Source organism: Homo sapiens, chromosome 10, assembly GCF_000001405.40.
Source record: "Homo sapiens chromosome 10, GRCh38.p14 Primary Assembly".
In the NCBI taxonomy this organism is placed as follows: domain Eukaryota; kingdom Metazoa; phylum Chordata; class Mammalia; order Primates; family Hominidae; genus Homo; species Homo sapiens.
This window is the reverse complement of record NC_000010.11, coordinates 66,425,755-66,440,373: the sequence shown is the minus strand read 5'-3', so window position 1 is coordinate 66,440,373 and position 14,619 is coordinate 66,425,755. Positions and strand designations below refer to the sequence as shown.

Here is a 14,619-nt window from a genome sequence, read left to right as displayed (position 1 = left end):
TTACAAATCAATAAAAAAATTTCACTAGAAAAATAGGCAAATCTGAAATAGAAAATGAATATATTAAGAAATGCCCTGATTTATATAAATAAACATATATATGCTCAACTGTACTAATAATCAAAGAAAAATTGATTATATTACAAAGATATCATTTTTCCTGACAGTCACATTGAGCCCATTTTGGCTCGCATTAATTTCACCTTCAAATATCTAAAGTGGAGATATAATTGCAAAAGCTATGTGAACAATAATATTTATTGGAATACTGTTTTAATAGCCCAAGCTGGCAATAACATAAATGCTATCAATATGAGAAACTGATAACAGAGTATGGTTCTGAGACATTAAGAAGCTTGCCTGAGGTTATAAAGGATTGTGATATTCAATTACACATTCATGTGATTTTATAGGAATGAAATAAAAAGGCTTTGTGATTTAATGGGAAGAATATTAATTCTTATTTCAGTTGTAATACAGATTTTCTTTGAGGTATTGACCAGCTTCTACTTCTAAAAACCTGTGATTTGATTTTTTTGTTGACATTTTATAAACAGCCCTTATATATGATCTAATAGTCCTTCATAACCTAGTGTAACATATTGATGAACTCGTTTATTGTTGAGGTAAAAATGAATCTATTTTGTGATTTTTATTTTTCCCTCCAGTGACCTAATTTAAACCATTTATATAATTACTATTTTGATTTATTAGCCGGATATTCCTCTGAAATAGTCTATTATGCTATATCTAATGTGTAACATACATGCTATGTAAAAAGTTATATTACCATTTTTATTTGCTTCATTTTTCATTTGCTTAATTATTTTATTTATCATAAGGAATCTTTGAGATCACAAGTCAGAGAATCTGAAAACCAAAATCTACAGAAATATGCACATGCTAACCTCTGTATCATAATCCTCAGGTAACAACTACTCTCTACAAAATTTGTGATTAAAATTCAAATCTTTATTTTTTATCATGCTAACCTATCAGCTTTTTTAATGTGTGTTCTTCATAGGGTCATTGTTGTGATGATGTAAATAGTATCCTTTTTTTAAGAAAAAGATTAGAAAATATAAATTTATAATCTCATTATACAAATACAAATAGTACTATTTGATATATTGTACTTTATGAAGTATTTCTTTATAAGTATTTTATCTTATAAAGTTATAATTAGATTACAACCATTATATTAAAAATGTGTATCATGAGGAATAGAAGATGGCTGAATAGGAACAGCTCCGGTCTTCAGCTCCCAGGGAGATCAATGCAGAAGGTGGGTGATTTCTGCATTTCCAACTGAGGTACCTGACTCATCTCATTGGGACTGGTTACACAGTGGGTGCAGCCCATGGAGGGTGACCCGAAGCAGGGTGGGGCATCACCTCACCCGGGAAGTGTAAGGGGTCAGGTAACTCCCTCCCCTAGCCAAGGGAAGCCATGAGGGACTGTGCCTTGAGGAACAGTGCACTCTGGCCCATATACTTTGCTTTTCCCATGGTCTTTGCAACCTACAGATCAGGAGATTCCTTTGGGTGCCTACACTCCCAGGGCCCTAGATTTCAAGCACGAAACTGGGCAGCTGTTTGGGCAGACACTGACCTAGCTGCAGGAGTTTTTTTCATACCTCAGTGGTACCTGGAATGCTAGCAAGACAGAACCATTTACTCCGCTGGAAAGGGGGCTGAAGCCAGGGAGTCAAGTGGTCTAGCTCAGCGGATCCCACCCCCATGGAGCCCAACAAGCTCCATGGCTTGAAATTCTCGCTGTCAGCACAGGAGTCTGAAGTTGACCTGGGATGCTCCAGCTTGGTGTGGGTGAGAGGCATCCACCATTACTGAGGCTTGAGTAGGCAGTTTTCCCCTCACAGTGTAAACAAAGCCACCTGGAAGTTCAAACTGGGTGGGGCCCACCAAAGTGCAGCAAAGCCTCTGTAGCCAGACTGCCTCTCTAGATTCCTCCTTTCTGGGCAGGGCATCTCTGAAAGAAAGGCAGAAGCCACAGTCAGGGGCTTATAAATAAAACTCTCAACTCCCTGGGACAGAGCACCTGGGGGAAGGGGCAGCTGTGAGCACAGCTTCACCAGACTTAAACGTTTCTGTCTACTGGCTCTGAAGACAGCAGTGGATCTCCCAGCACAGAGCTTGAGCTCTGCTAAGGGACAGACTGCCTCCTCAAGTGGGTCCCTGAACCCGGTGCCTCCTGACTAGGAAACACCTCCCAGCAGGGGTCAACAGACATCTCATACAGGAGAGCTCTGGCTGGCATCTGGCAGGTGCCCCTCTGGAATAAAGCTTCCAGAGGAAGGAGCAGGCAGCACTCTTTGCTGTTCTGCAGCCTCCACTGGTGATACGTAGGCAAACGGTCTGGAGTGGACCTCCAGCAAACTCCAGCAGACCTGCAGAAGAGGGGCCTGACTGTTAGAAGGAAAACTAACAAACAGAAAGCAATAGCATCAACATCAACAAAAAGGACACCCACGCAAAAACCCCATCCAAAGATCACCAACGTCAAAGACCAAAGGTAGATAAATCCACAAAGATGAGGAAAAAGCAGCTCAAAAAGGCTGAAAATTCCAAAAACCAGAATGTCTCTTCCAAAGGATCACAACTCCTCGCCAGCAAGGGAACAAAATTAGACAGAGAATGAGTTTGATGAATTGACAGAAGTAGGCTTCGGAAGGTGGGTAATAACAAACTCCTCTGAGCAAAAGAAGCATGTTCTAACCAAATGCAAGGAAGCTAAGAACCTTGATAAAAGATTCCCCTAGGTCTCCCTAGGAACTGCTAACTGGAATAAGCAGTTTAGAGAAGAACATAAATGACCTGAAGGAGCTGAAAAACACAGCATGAGAACTTTGTGAAGCATACACAAGTATCAATAGCCAAATCCATCAAGTGGAAGAAAGGATATCAGAGATTGAAGATCAACTTAATGAAATAAAGCATAAAGACAAGATTAGAGAAAAAAGAATGAAAAGGAATTAACAAAGCCTCCAAGAAATATGAGACTATGTGAAAAGACCAAACTTTTTTGATTGGTGTACCTGAAAGTAACAGGGAGATTGGAACCAAGTTGGAAAACACGCTTCAGGATGTTATCCAGGAGAACTTCCCCAACCTAGCAAGGCAGGCCAACATTCAAATTTAGGAAATACAGAGAACACCACAAAGATAATCCTTGAGAAGAGCAACCCCAAGACACATAATTGTCAGATTCACCAAGGTTGAAATGAAGGAAAAAATGTTAAGAGCAGCCAGAGAGAAACGTGGGGTTACCCATAAAGAGAAGCACATCAGACTAACAGGGGATCTCTTGGCAGAAACCCTACAAGCCAGAAGAGGGTGGGGGCTGATATTCAACATTCTTAAAGAAAAGAATTTTCAACCCAAAATTTTTTATCCAGCCAAACTAAGCTTCATAAGTGAAGGAGAAATAAAATCCTTTACAGACAAGCAAATGCTGAGAGATTTTGTCACCACCAGGTCTGCCTTACAAGAGCTCCTGAAGAAAGCACTAAACATGGCAAGGAAAAACTGGTACCAGCCACTGCAAAAACATATCAAATTGTAAAGACCATCGGCACTGTGAAGAAGCTGCATCAATTAATGGGCAAAATAACCAGCTAGCATCATGATGACAGGATCAAATTCACATGTAACAATAACTTTAAGTGTAAATTGACTAAATGCCCCAATTAAAAGACACAGACTGACAAATTGGATAAAGAGTCAAGACCCATAGGTGTCCTGTATTCAGGAGACTTATCTCACATGCAAAGACAAACAAAGGCTAAAAATAGTGGGATTGAGAAAGATTTACCAAGCAAATAGAAAGCAAAAAAAAAAAAAAAAAAAAAAAAAGCAGGGATTGTAGTCCTAGTCTCTGATAACCCAGACTTTAAACCAACAAAGATAAAAAAGACAAAGAAGGGCATTACATAATGGTAGAGGGATCAATGCAACAAGAAGAGTTAAATATCTTAAATATATGTGCACACAATACAGGAGCATCCAGATTCATAAAGCAAGTTCTTAGAGACCTAAAAAAAGACTTAGACTCCAAAACAATAATAGTGGGAGACTTTTACACCCCACTGTCATATTAGACAGATAAACGAGACAGAAAATTAACAAGGATATTCAGGATGTGAACTCAGCTCAGGTCCGAGCAGACCTAATAGACATCTACCAAACTCTCCACCTCAAATCAACAGAATATACATTCTTCTCAGCACCAAATCATACTTATTCTAAAATTGACCACATAATTGAAAGTAAAACACTCCTCAGCAAATGCAAATAAATGGAAATAATAACAAACAGTATCTCAGACCACAGTGCAATCAAATTAGAACTCAGGATTAAGAAACTCACTCAAAACCGCACAACTACATGGAAACTGAACAACCTGCTCCTGAATGACTATTGGGTAAATAAATTAAGGCAGAAATAAATAAGTTCTTTGAAACCAATAAGAACAAAGACACAACATACCAGAATCTCTGGGACACAGCTAAAGCAGTGTTTAGAGGGAAATTTATAGCACTAAGTGCCCACAGGAGAAAGCAGGAAAGATCTAAATTTGACGCCCTAACATCACAATGAAAAGAACTAGAGAAGCAATAGCAAACAAATTCAAAAGCTAACAGGAGACAAGAAATAACTAAGATCAGAGCAGAACTGAAGGAGATAGAGACACAAAAAACCTTTCAAAAAATCAATGAATCCAGGAGCTGGTTTTTTGAAAACATCAACAAAACAGATAGACCACTAGCCAGACTAATAAAGAAGAAAAGAGAGAAGAATCAAATAGACACAATAAAAAATGATAAAGGGGATATCACCACTGATCCCACAGAAATACAAACTACCATCAGAGAATACTATAGAAATACAAACTACCATCAGAGAATACTATAAACACCTCTATGCAAATAAACTAGAAAATCTGGAAGAAATGGATAAATTCCTGGACACATACACCCTCCCAAGACTAAACCAGGAAAAAGTCGAATCTCTGAACAGAACAATAACAAGATCTGAAATTGAGGCAGTAATTAATAGCTTACCAACCAAAAAAAAGCCCAGGACCAGACAGATTCACAGCCAAATTCTATCAGAGGTACAAAGAAGAGCTGGTTCCATTCCTTCTGAAACTATTTCAAACAATAGAAAAGAAATTATCATAAAATAACTCATTTTATGAGGCCAGCATCATCCTGATACCAAAACCTGGCAGAAACACAACAAAAAAAAGAAAATTTCAGGCCAATATCCGTGATGAACATCGATGTGAAAATTCTCAATAAAATACTGGAAAACTGAATCCAGCAGCACATCAAAAAGCTTATCCACCACAATCAAGTCAGCTTCACCCCAGGATGCAAGGATGGTTCAACATAAGCAAATCAATAAATGGAATCCATCACATAAACAGAACCAATGAAAAAAAAACACATGATTATCTCAATAGATGCAAAAAAGGCCTTTGATAAAATTCAACACCCCTTCATGCTAAAAACTCTCAATAAATTAGGTATTGATGGAACATATCTCAAAATAATAAGAGCTATATATGACAAACTCACAGCCAATATTATACTGAATGGGTAAAAGCTGGAAGCATTCCCTTTGAAAACCAGCACAGGCAAGGATGCCCTCTCTCACTACTCCTATTCAACATAGTATTGGAAGTTCTGGCCAGGGCAATCAGGCAAGAGATAGAAATAAAGTATATTCAAGTGGGAGGAGAGGAGGTCAAATTGTCTCTGTTTGCAGATGACATGATTGTATATCTAGAAAACCCTGTCATCTCAGCCCCAAAATCTCCTTAGGCTGATAAGCAACTTCAGCAGAGTCTCAGGATACAAAATCAATGTGCAAAAATCTCAAGCATTCCTATACACCTATAATAGACAAACAGAGAGCCAAATCATGAGAGAACTCCTATTCACAATTGCTAGAAAGAGAATAAAATACCTAGAAATACAAGTTACAAGGGATGTGAAGGACCTCTTCAAGGGGAACTACAAACCACTGCTCAAGGAAATCAGAGACAACACAAACAAACAGAAAATCATTCCATGCTCACAGATAGGAAGAATCAATATCTTGAAAATGGCCATACTGCCCAGGGTAATTTATAGATTCAATGCTATTCCCATTAAGCAACCATTGACTTTTTTCACAGAATTAGAAAAAAACTACTTTAAAGTTCATATGGAACCAAAAAAGAGCCCATATAGCCAAGACAATCCTAAGCAAAAAGAACAAAGCTGGAGGCATAATGCTACCTGTCTTCAAACTACACTACAAGGCTGCAGTAACAAAAACAGCATGATACTGTTACCAAAACAGATATATAGACCAATGGAACAGAACAGAGGCCTCAGAAATAACACCACACATCTACAGCCATCTGATCTTTGACAAACCTGACACAAACAAGCAATGGGGAAAAGATTCCCTATTTAATAAAAGCTGTTGGGAAAACTGGCTAGCCATGTGCAGAAAACTGAAACTGGATTCCTTCCTTACACCTAATACAAACATTAACTCAAGATAAATTAAAGACTTAAAGGTAAGACCTAAAACCATAAAAGCCCTAGAAGAAAACCTAGGCAGTACCATTCAGGACATAGGCATGGGCAAGGACTTCATGACTAAAACACCAAAGCAATGGCAACAAAAGCCAAAATTGACAAATGGGATCTAATTAAACTAAAGAGCTTCTGCACGGTGAAAGAAACTACCATCAGAGGAAACAGGCAACCTACAGAATGGGAGAAAATTTTTGCAATCTATCCATTTGACAAAGGGCTAATATCCAGAATCTATAAAGAACTTAAATGAATTTACAAGAGAAAAACAACCCCATCAAAAAGTGGGCAAAGGATATGAACAGACACTTCTCAAAAGAAGACATTTATGCAGCCAACAAACATGAAAAAAAGCTTGTTATCACTGATCATTAGAGAAATGCAAATCAAACCCACAATGAGATACCATTTCATGCCAGTTAGAATGGCAATCATTAAAAAGTCAGGAAACAACAGACGGTGGAAAGGATGTGGAGAAATAGGAACACTTTTATACTGTTGGTGGGAGTGTAAATTAGTTCAACCATTGTGGAAGACAATGTGGCAATTCCTCAGGGATCTAAAACCAGAAATGCCATTTGACCCAGCAATCCCATTAGTGGGTATATACCCAAAGGATCATAAATCATTCTACTATAAAAACACATGTACACATATTTTTATTGCAGTACTATTCACAATAGCAAAGACTTGGAACCAACCCAAATGCCCATCAATGATAGACTGGCTCAAGAAAATGTGGCACATATACACCATAGAATACTATGCAGCCATAAAAAAGGATGAGTTGCTGTCCTTTGCAGGGACATGGATGAAGCTGGAAACCATCATTCTCAGCAAACTAACAAAGGAACAGAAAACCAAACACCCTATGTTCTCACTAATAAATGGGAATTGAACAATGAGAACATATGGGCACAGGGAAAGGAACATCACATACCCTGTTGGGGGTTGGGGGCAAGGGTAGGGATAGCATTAGGAGAAATACCTGATGTAGATGATGAGTTGATGGGTGCATCAAACAACCATGTCACAAGTATGCCTATGTAACAAAGCTGCATGTTCTGCACATGTATACCAGAACTTTTTTTTTTTTTTTTTCTGTGAGATGGTCTCGCTCTGTCACCCAGGCTGGAGTGCAGTGGCGCAATCTCTGCTCACTGCAAGCTCCACCTCCCGGGTTCATGCCATTCTCCTTCCTCAGCCTCCCAAGTAGCTGGAACTACAGGCACCTGCCACCACTACGCCCGGCTAATTTTTTGTATTTTTAGTAGAGATGGGGTTTCACTGTGTTAGCCAGGATGGTATTGATCTCCTGACCTCGTGATCCACCTGCCTTGGCTTCCCAAAGTGTTGGGATTACAGGCGTGAGCCACCGCACCTGGCGTATCCCAGAACTTAAAGTATAATAATAATTTTAAAAAATGCGTATCGCTGTTTTAGTGCCATAATATTTGTATACTAAAAGTATTGTTTCATGTTGCAATTTAATTGTGGCTTTCTTCTGGATGAGTAGGTTAGCTTTTGATACAATTTAGTTTTGTAACAATCACTTTTAAGATTTTAAACTATACCATTAACTGAATAAATTATATTTTTCTTAACCTTTTATTGTTCTAAATTTGTTTTTTATTATTAAATACCATACTTCAATAAAGTATTTCTCAATATCCAGAATTATTTTACGAATTCCAAAAAATGAAGTTACTAGATCAAAACACAAACTTTTCCTTGCTTTGATATATTTTTATTAATTTAATATTGTACTAGTTTTTCTACATCCTTGCTCTAACTGGATATTAACAGGTTGAACATTCTTTAAAAATATTTCACAGATTAATACAATGATTTTATATATATATTTTTATTATACTTTAAGTTCTAGGGTACATGTGCACAACGTGCAGGTTTGTTACATATGTATACATGTGCCATGTTGGTGTGCTGCACCCATTAACTGGTCATTTAACATTAGGTGTATCTCCTAATGCTATCCCTCCCCCCTCCCCCCACCCCACAACAGGCCCTAGTGTGTGATGTTCCCCTTCCTGTGTCCAAGTGTTCTCATTGTTCAATTCCCACCTGTGAGTGAGAAAATGCGGTGTTTGGTTTTTTTGTCCTTGCGACAGTTTGCTGAGAATGATGGTTTCCAGCTTCATCCACGTCCCTACAAAGGACATGAACTCATCATTTTTTATGGCTGCATAGTATTCCATGGTGTATATGTGCCATATTTTCTTAATCCAGTCTATCATTGATGGACATTTGGGTTGGTTCCAAGTCTTTGCTATTGTGAATAGTGCCACAATAAACATACATGTGCATGTGTCTTTATAGCAGCATGTTTTATAATCCTATGAGTATATACCCAGTAATGGGATGGCTGGGCCAAATGATATTTCCACTTCTGGATCCCTGAGGAATTGCCACACTGTCTTCCACAATGGTTGAACTAGTTTACAGTCCCACCAACAGTATAAAAGTGTTCCTATTTCTCCACATCCTCTCCAGCTCCTGTTGTTTCCTGACTTTTTAATGATCGCCATTCTAACTGGTGTGAGACGATGTCTCATTGTGGTTTTCATTTGCATTTCTCTGATGGCCAGTGATGATGAGCATTTTTTCATGTGTCTGTAGGCTGCATAAATGTCTTATTTTGAGAAGTGTCTGTTCATATCCTTTGCCCACTTTTTGATGGGTTTTTTTTTTTCTTGTAAATTTGAGTTCTTTGTGGATTCTGGATATTAGCCCTTTGTCAGATGAGTAGTTTGCAAAAATTTTCTCCCATTCTGTAGGTTGCCTGTTCACTCTGACGGTAGTTTCTTTTGCTGTGCAGAAGCTCTTTAGTTTAATTAGATGCCATTTGTCAATTTTGGCTCTTGTTGCCATTGCTTTTGGTGTTTTAGACATGAAGTCCTTGCCCATGCCTATGTCCTGAATGGTATTGCCTAGGTTTTCTTCCAGGGTTTTTATGGTTTTAGGTCTGACATTTAAGTCCTTAATCCATCTTGAATTAAATTTTGTATAAGGTGTAAGGAAGGGATCCAGTTTCAGCTTTCTACATATGGCTAGCCAGTTTTCCCAGCACCATTTATTAAATAAGGAATCCTTTCCTCATTTCTTGTTTTTGTCAGGTTTGTCAAAGATCAGATAGTTGTAGATGTGTGGTATTATTTCTGAGGGCTCTGTTCTGTTCCATTGGTCTGTATATCTGTTTTGGTACCAGTATCATGCTGTTTTGGTTACTGTAGCCTTGGAGTATAGTCTGAAGTCAGGTAGCAAGATGCCTCCAGCTTTGTTCTTTTGGCTTAGGATTGACTTGGCAATGCAGGCTCTTTTTTGGTTCCATATGAACTTTAAAGTAGCTTTTTCCAATTCTGTGAAGAAAGTCATTGGTAGCTTGAGGGGATGGCATTGAATCTATAAATTACCTTGGCCAGTATGGCCATTTTCACGATATTGATTCTTCCTGTCCATGAGCATGGAATGTTCTTCCATTTGTTTGTATCCTCCTTTATTTCCTTGAGCAGTGGTTTGTAGTTCTCCTTGAAGAGGTCCTTCACATCCCTTGTAAGTTGGATTCCTAGGTATTTCATTCTCTTTGAAGCAATTGTGAATGGGAGTTCACTCATGATTTGGCTCTTTGTTTGTCTGTTAATGGTGTATAGGAATGCTTGTGATTTTTGCACATTGATTTTGTATCCTGAGACATTGCTGAAGTTGCTTATCAGCTTAAGGAGATTTTCGACTGAGATGATGGGGTTTTCTAGATATACAATCATGTCATCTGCAAAGAGGGACAATTTGTCTTCCTCTTTTCCTAATTGAATACCCTTTATTTCCTTCTCCTGCCTGATTGCCCTGGCCAGAACTTCCAACACTATGTTGAATAGGAGTGGTGGGAGAGGGCATCCCTGTCTTGTGCCAGTTTTCAAAGGGAATGTTTCCAGGTTTTGCCCATTCAGTATGATATTGGTTGTGGGTTTGTCATATGTAGCTGTTATTATTTTTAGATACTTCCCATCAATACGTAATTTATTGAGAGTTTTTAGCATGAAGTGCTGTTGAATTTTGTCAAAGACCTTTTCTGCATCTATCGAAATAATCATGTGTTTTTTGTCTTTGGTTCTGTTTATGTGCTGGATTACATTTATTGATTTGTGTATGTTGAACCAGCCTTGCATCCCAGGGATGAAGCCAACTTGATCGTGGTGGATAAGCTTTTTGATGTGCTGCTGGATTCAGTTTGCCAGTATTTTATTGAGGATTTTTGCATTGACGTTCATCAGGGATATTGGTCTAAAATTCTCTTTTTTGCTTGTGTCTCTGCCAGCTTTGGTATCAGGATGATGCTGGCCTCATAAAATGAGTTAGGGAGGATTCCCTCTTTTTCTATTGGTTGGAATAGTTTCAGAAGGAATGATACCAGCTCCTCTTTGTATCTTTGGTAGAAATCGGCTGTGAATCCGTCTGGTCCTGGACTTTTTTTGTTGGTAAGCTATTAATTATTGCGTCAATTTCAGAGTCTGTTATTGGTGTATTCAGAGATTCAACTTCTTCCTGGTTTAGTCTTGGGAGGGTGTATGTGTAGAGGATTTTATCCATTTCTTCTAGATTTTCTAGTTTATTTGTGTAGAGGTGTTTACAGTATTCTCTGACGGTAGTTTGTATTTCTGTGGGATCGGTGGTGATATCCCCTTTATCATTTTTTATTGCATCTATTTGATTCTTCTCTCTTTTCTTCTTTATTAGTCTTGCTAGCGGTCTATCAATTTTTTTGATCTTTTCAAAAAACCAGCTCCTGAATTCATTGATTTTTTGAAGGGTTTTTTGTGTCTCTATCTCCTTCAGTTCTGCTCTGATCTTAGTTATTTCTTGCCTTCTGCTAGCTTTTGAATGTGTTTGCTCTTGCTTTTCTAGTTCTTTTAATTGTGATGTTAGGGTGTCAATTTTGGATCTTTCCTGCTTTCTCTTGTGGGCATTTAGTGCTATAAATTTCCCTCTACACACTGCTTTAAATGTGTCCCAGATATTCTAGTATGTTATGTCTTTGTTCTCGTTGGTTTCAAAGAACATCTTTATTTTTGCCTTCATTTCGTTATGTACCCAGTAGTCATTCAGGAGCAGGTTGTTCAGTTTCCATGTAGTTGAGCAGTTTTGAGTGAGTTTCTTAATCCTGCCTTCTAGTTTGATTGCACTGTGGTTTGAGAGACAGTTTGTTATAATTTCTGTTCTTTTACATTTGCTGAGGAGTGCTTTACTTCCAACTATGTGGTCAATTTTGGAATAGATGTGGTGTGGTGCTGAAAAGAATGTATATTCTGTTGATTTGGGGTGGAGAGTTCTATAGATGTCTATTAGGTCTGCTTGGTGCAGAGCTGAGTTCAGTTCCTGGATATCCTTGTTAACTTTCTGTCTCATTGATCTGTCTAATGTTGACAATGGGATGTTGAAGTCTTCCATTATCATTGTGTGGGAGTCTAAGTCTCTTTGTAGGTCACTAAGGACTTGCTTTATGAATCTGGGTGCTCCTTTATATGGTGCATATATATTTAGGATAGTTAGCTCTTCTTGTTGAATTGATTCCTTTACCATTATGTAATGGCCTTCTTTGTCTCTTTTGATCTTTGTTGGTTTAAAGTCTGTTTTATCAGAGACTAGGATTGCAACCCCTGCCTTTTTTTGTTCTCCATTTGCTTGATAGATCTTCCTCCATCCTTTTATTTTGAGCCCATGTGTGTCTCTGCACGTGAGATGGGTTTCCTGAATACAGCACACTGATGGGTCTTGACTCTTTATCCAATTTGCCAGTCTGTGTCTTTTAATTGGAGCATTTAGTCCATTTACGTTTAAGGTTAATATTGTTATGTGTGAATTTGATCCTGTCATTATGATGTTAGCTTGTTATTTTGCTCATTAGTTGATGCAGTTTCTTCCTAGAATTGATGGTCTTTACAATTTGGAGTGTTTTTGCAGTGGCTGGTACCGGTTGTTCCTTTCCATATTTAGTACTTCCTTCCAGAGCCCTTGTCGGGCAGGTCTGGTGGTGACAAAATCTCTCAGCATTTGCTTGTCTATAAAGGATTTATGTCATAGTGCAGATATCACTCATATGCTGAAATGGCTTATTGTTGTTCCACCTCTGTTTACAAGAGCAAAAATATGATAAATGACTTCAAATGTCCATGTTACCAATAGAAAACTGGGTACATTTCCTCTAGTTAGATAAACACATTATACACATTGCAAAAATTCATTTGTCTAATCACTAATCTTTCTTCAGTGCCTACTGTATAGTTTGAAGTGCCCAGATACTGACCCTATAGATGTTAAGACAGTTCCAACCGTAAGGAAGCTTAGGGGAAGGCTAGTACAAAATACAAATACAACTAACAGAATATAAGCCAAGATAGTACTGTGAGTCCATATAGAAATACAAAAAAAAAAGTTTAAAAGAAAATAAGTAGCAAGGATAAAAATCAAGAAACACATGGCAGTGAGAAGAAATTAGAACCAAAGGTATCCTGGGCTCCAATGTGGAGTTTTTGCTTGTGTTTACCTCCATGATTCAAAATTTTCTCAGTTATGGAGGGATATTGGAGCAAAGCACACTGTATGCAACTAAAGGGTAGAGTTACAATTTTTAAAACTGGAAGTCCTTGATAGAAAATCAAACAACATCAACAAAAGTATATATTGACAAAAGGGCCTTTGAGAGAATGACACTAAAAAGCTAAAATTTAAAGAAATTAATAGACAAAGTAAATTTAAATGAAATATCAGAATATTAGTTACTTGAATGATATAAATGAGGAATTCATGAAATATATAGCACAAAGAGAAAAAACAGATTTAAAATATATATGAAAAAATAAAGTATTTGGCGAAGAGATTGAGAAATTATAACATGTATCAAAGGAATCCCACAAAGAATAAGCATTTTTTTTTAAAGACAGAGGAAATATGGCTGATAATTTTATAGAATTGAAGAGTGGGATGATCTTTCAAATTGAAAGACTTCATTGAGGGCCAAACAGGTCAATAAACACAATCCTTAACTGGTTATATCATGGAATAAAGAAAGAAGTTAATGGTAAGAGGCAATTTAAAAGCTACTAGAAAGAAAAACAGATTGCTTGCATAGGAAAAAAAAAAGATTGGCTTTTAACTTCTTAAGAACAAAGCAATTAAGTTTTATGTGAAAATCACTACCAGCCTAGAAATGTACTTGTAGCTAAGCTATCCTTTAAGAGTGAAAGCAAAATAGAGACATTTTCAAATATTCAAAAAATGAGGAGTTTACAATCCACAAATACAAAGTATTTCTTCAGCAAGAAGAGTAAATTAAAAAAGAAAGCACGGTAATCAATAGCTTTTGAAAGTGTATCAGTAATATACTTCACTTCTACCTTTAAATAAATCTACAGTTTTATTTTTTAAAAACAAGTTAAATTGGACAATACTTTAACAGTATAATTAAAACAATAACTGAGTACCCTATGACACAGTCATTCCAAGTATACACCCAATAGAAAGCATATATGTGCACCAAAAGACAAGTACTAGCCAAAAGTTGGAAAAAGAACAAATACGGAAATGACCATAATAGCTCTAAGTAGTAAATATTCATCAACAGTTGAATTAATAAATAAACTGCCTTGCATTTACACAGTGGAATACTACAAAACAATGAAAATGAATGAAACAGTCATATGATACAAATTATTCTCACAAACATAATGGGTTGAATAAAAAATACAAAAAATACATTGTAGATGATTAAGTGATATAAAGTACAAAATGACAAAAAACAATTTTATGCTGGTAGAAGTCAGCATGTGGTCATCCTTGGAAAAAGAGCAGTGGGTCTGTATGGGGAACGAAGGAGCTTCTGGGGAGCTGGTAATGTTGTGTATTCTTAATCTCAGTCCTGGTTCCATATGTGTGGTTGGTTTGTGAAAGTTTATAGAGCAGTACAGCTGTGAGATGTATACTTTATGAACATTGTA

The 14,619-nt window shown here is 37.3% G+C and overlaps 1 protein-coding gene across 8 annotated transcripts in view, besides 1 other annotated feature; it reads left to right on the top strand.

The window, feature by feature from the left end:
- CTNNA3 (catenin alpha 3) overlaps window positions 1–14,619 on the top strand; it is a 1,851,072-nt gene that overhangs the window by 1,323,221 nt on the left and 513,232 nt on the right. The gene's annotated exons all lie outside the window — the stretch shown is intronic.
- Window positions 1,071–2,270: an enhancer, noted in NCBI's record as "CDK7 strongly-dependent group 2 enhancer chr10:68197862-68199061 (GRCh37/hg19 assembly coordinates)". NCBI's record gives its function as "activates an origin of replication core promoter dependent on BRD2, BRD4, P300/CBP, MED14 and CDK7 cofactors, with strong dependence on CDK7, by STARR-seq in HCT116 cells {active_cell/tissue: HCT116}" and the evidence as "EXISTENCE:reporter gene assay evidence [ECO:0000049][PMID:35650434]".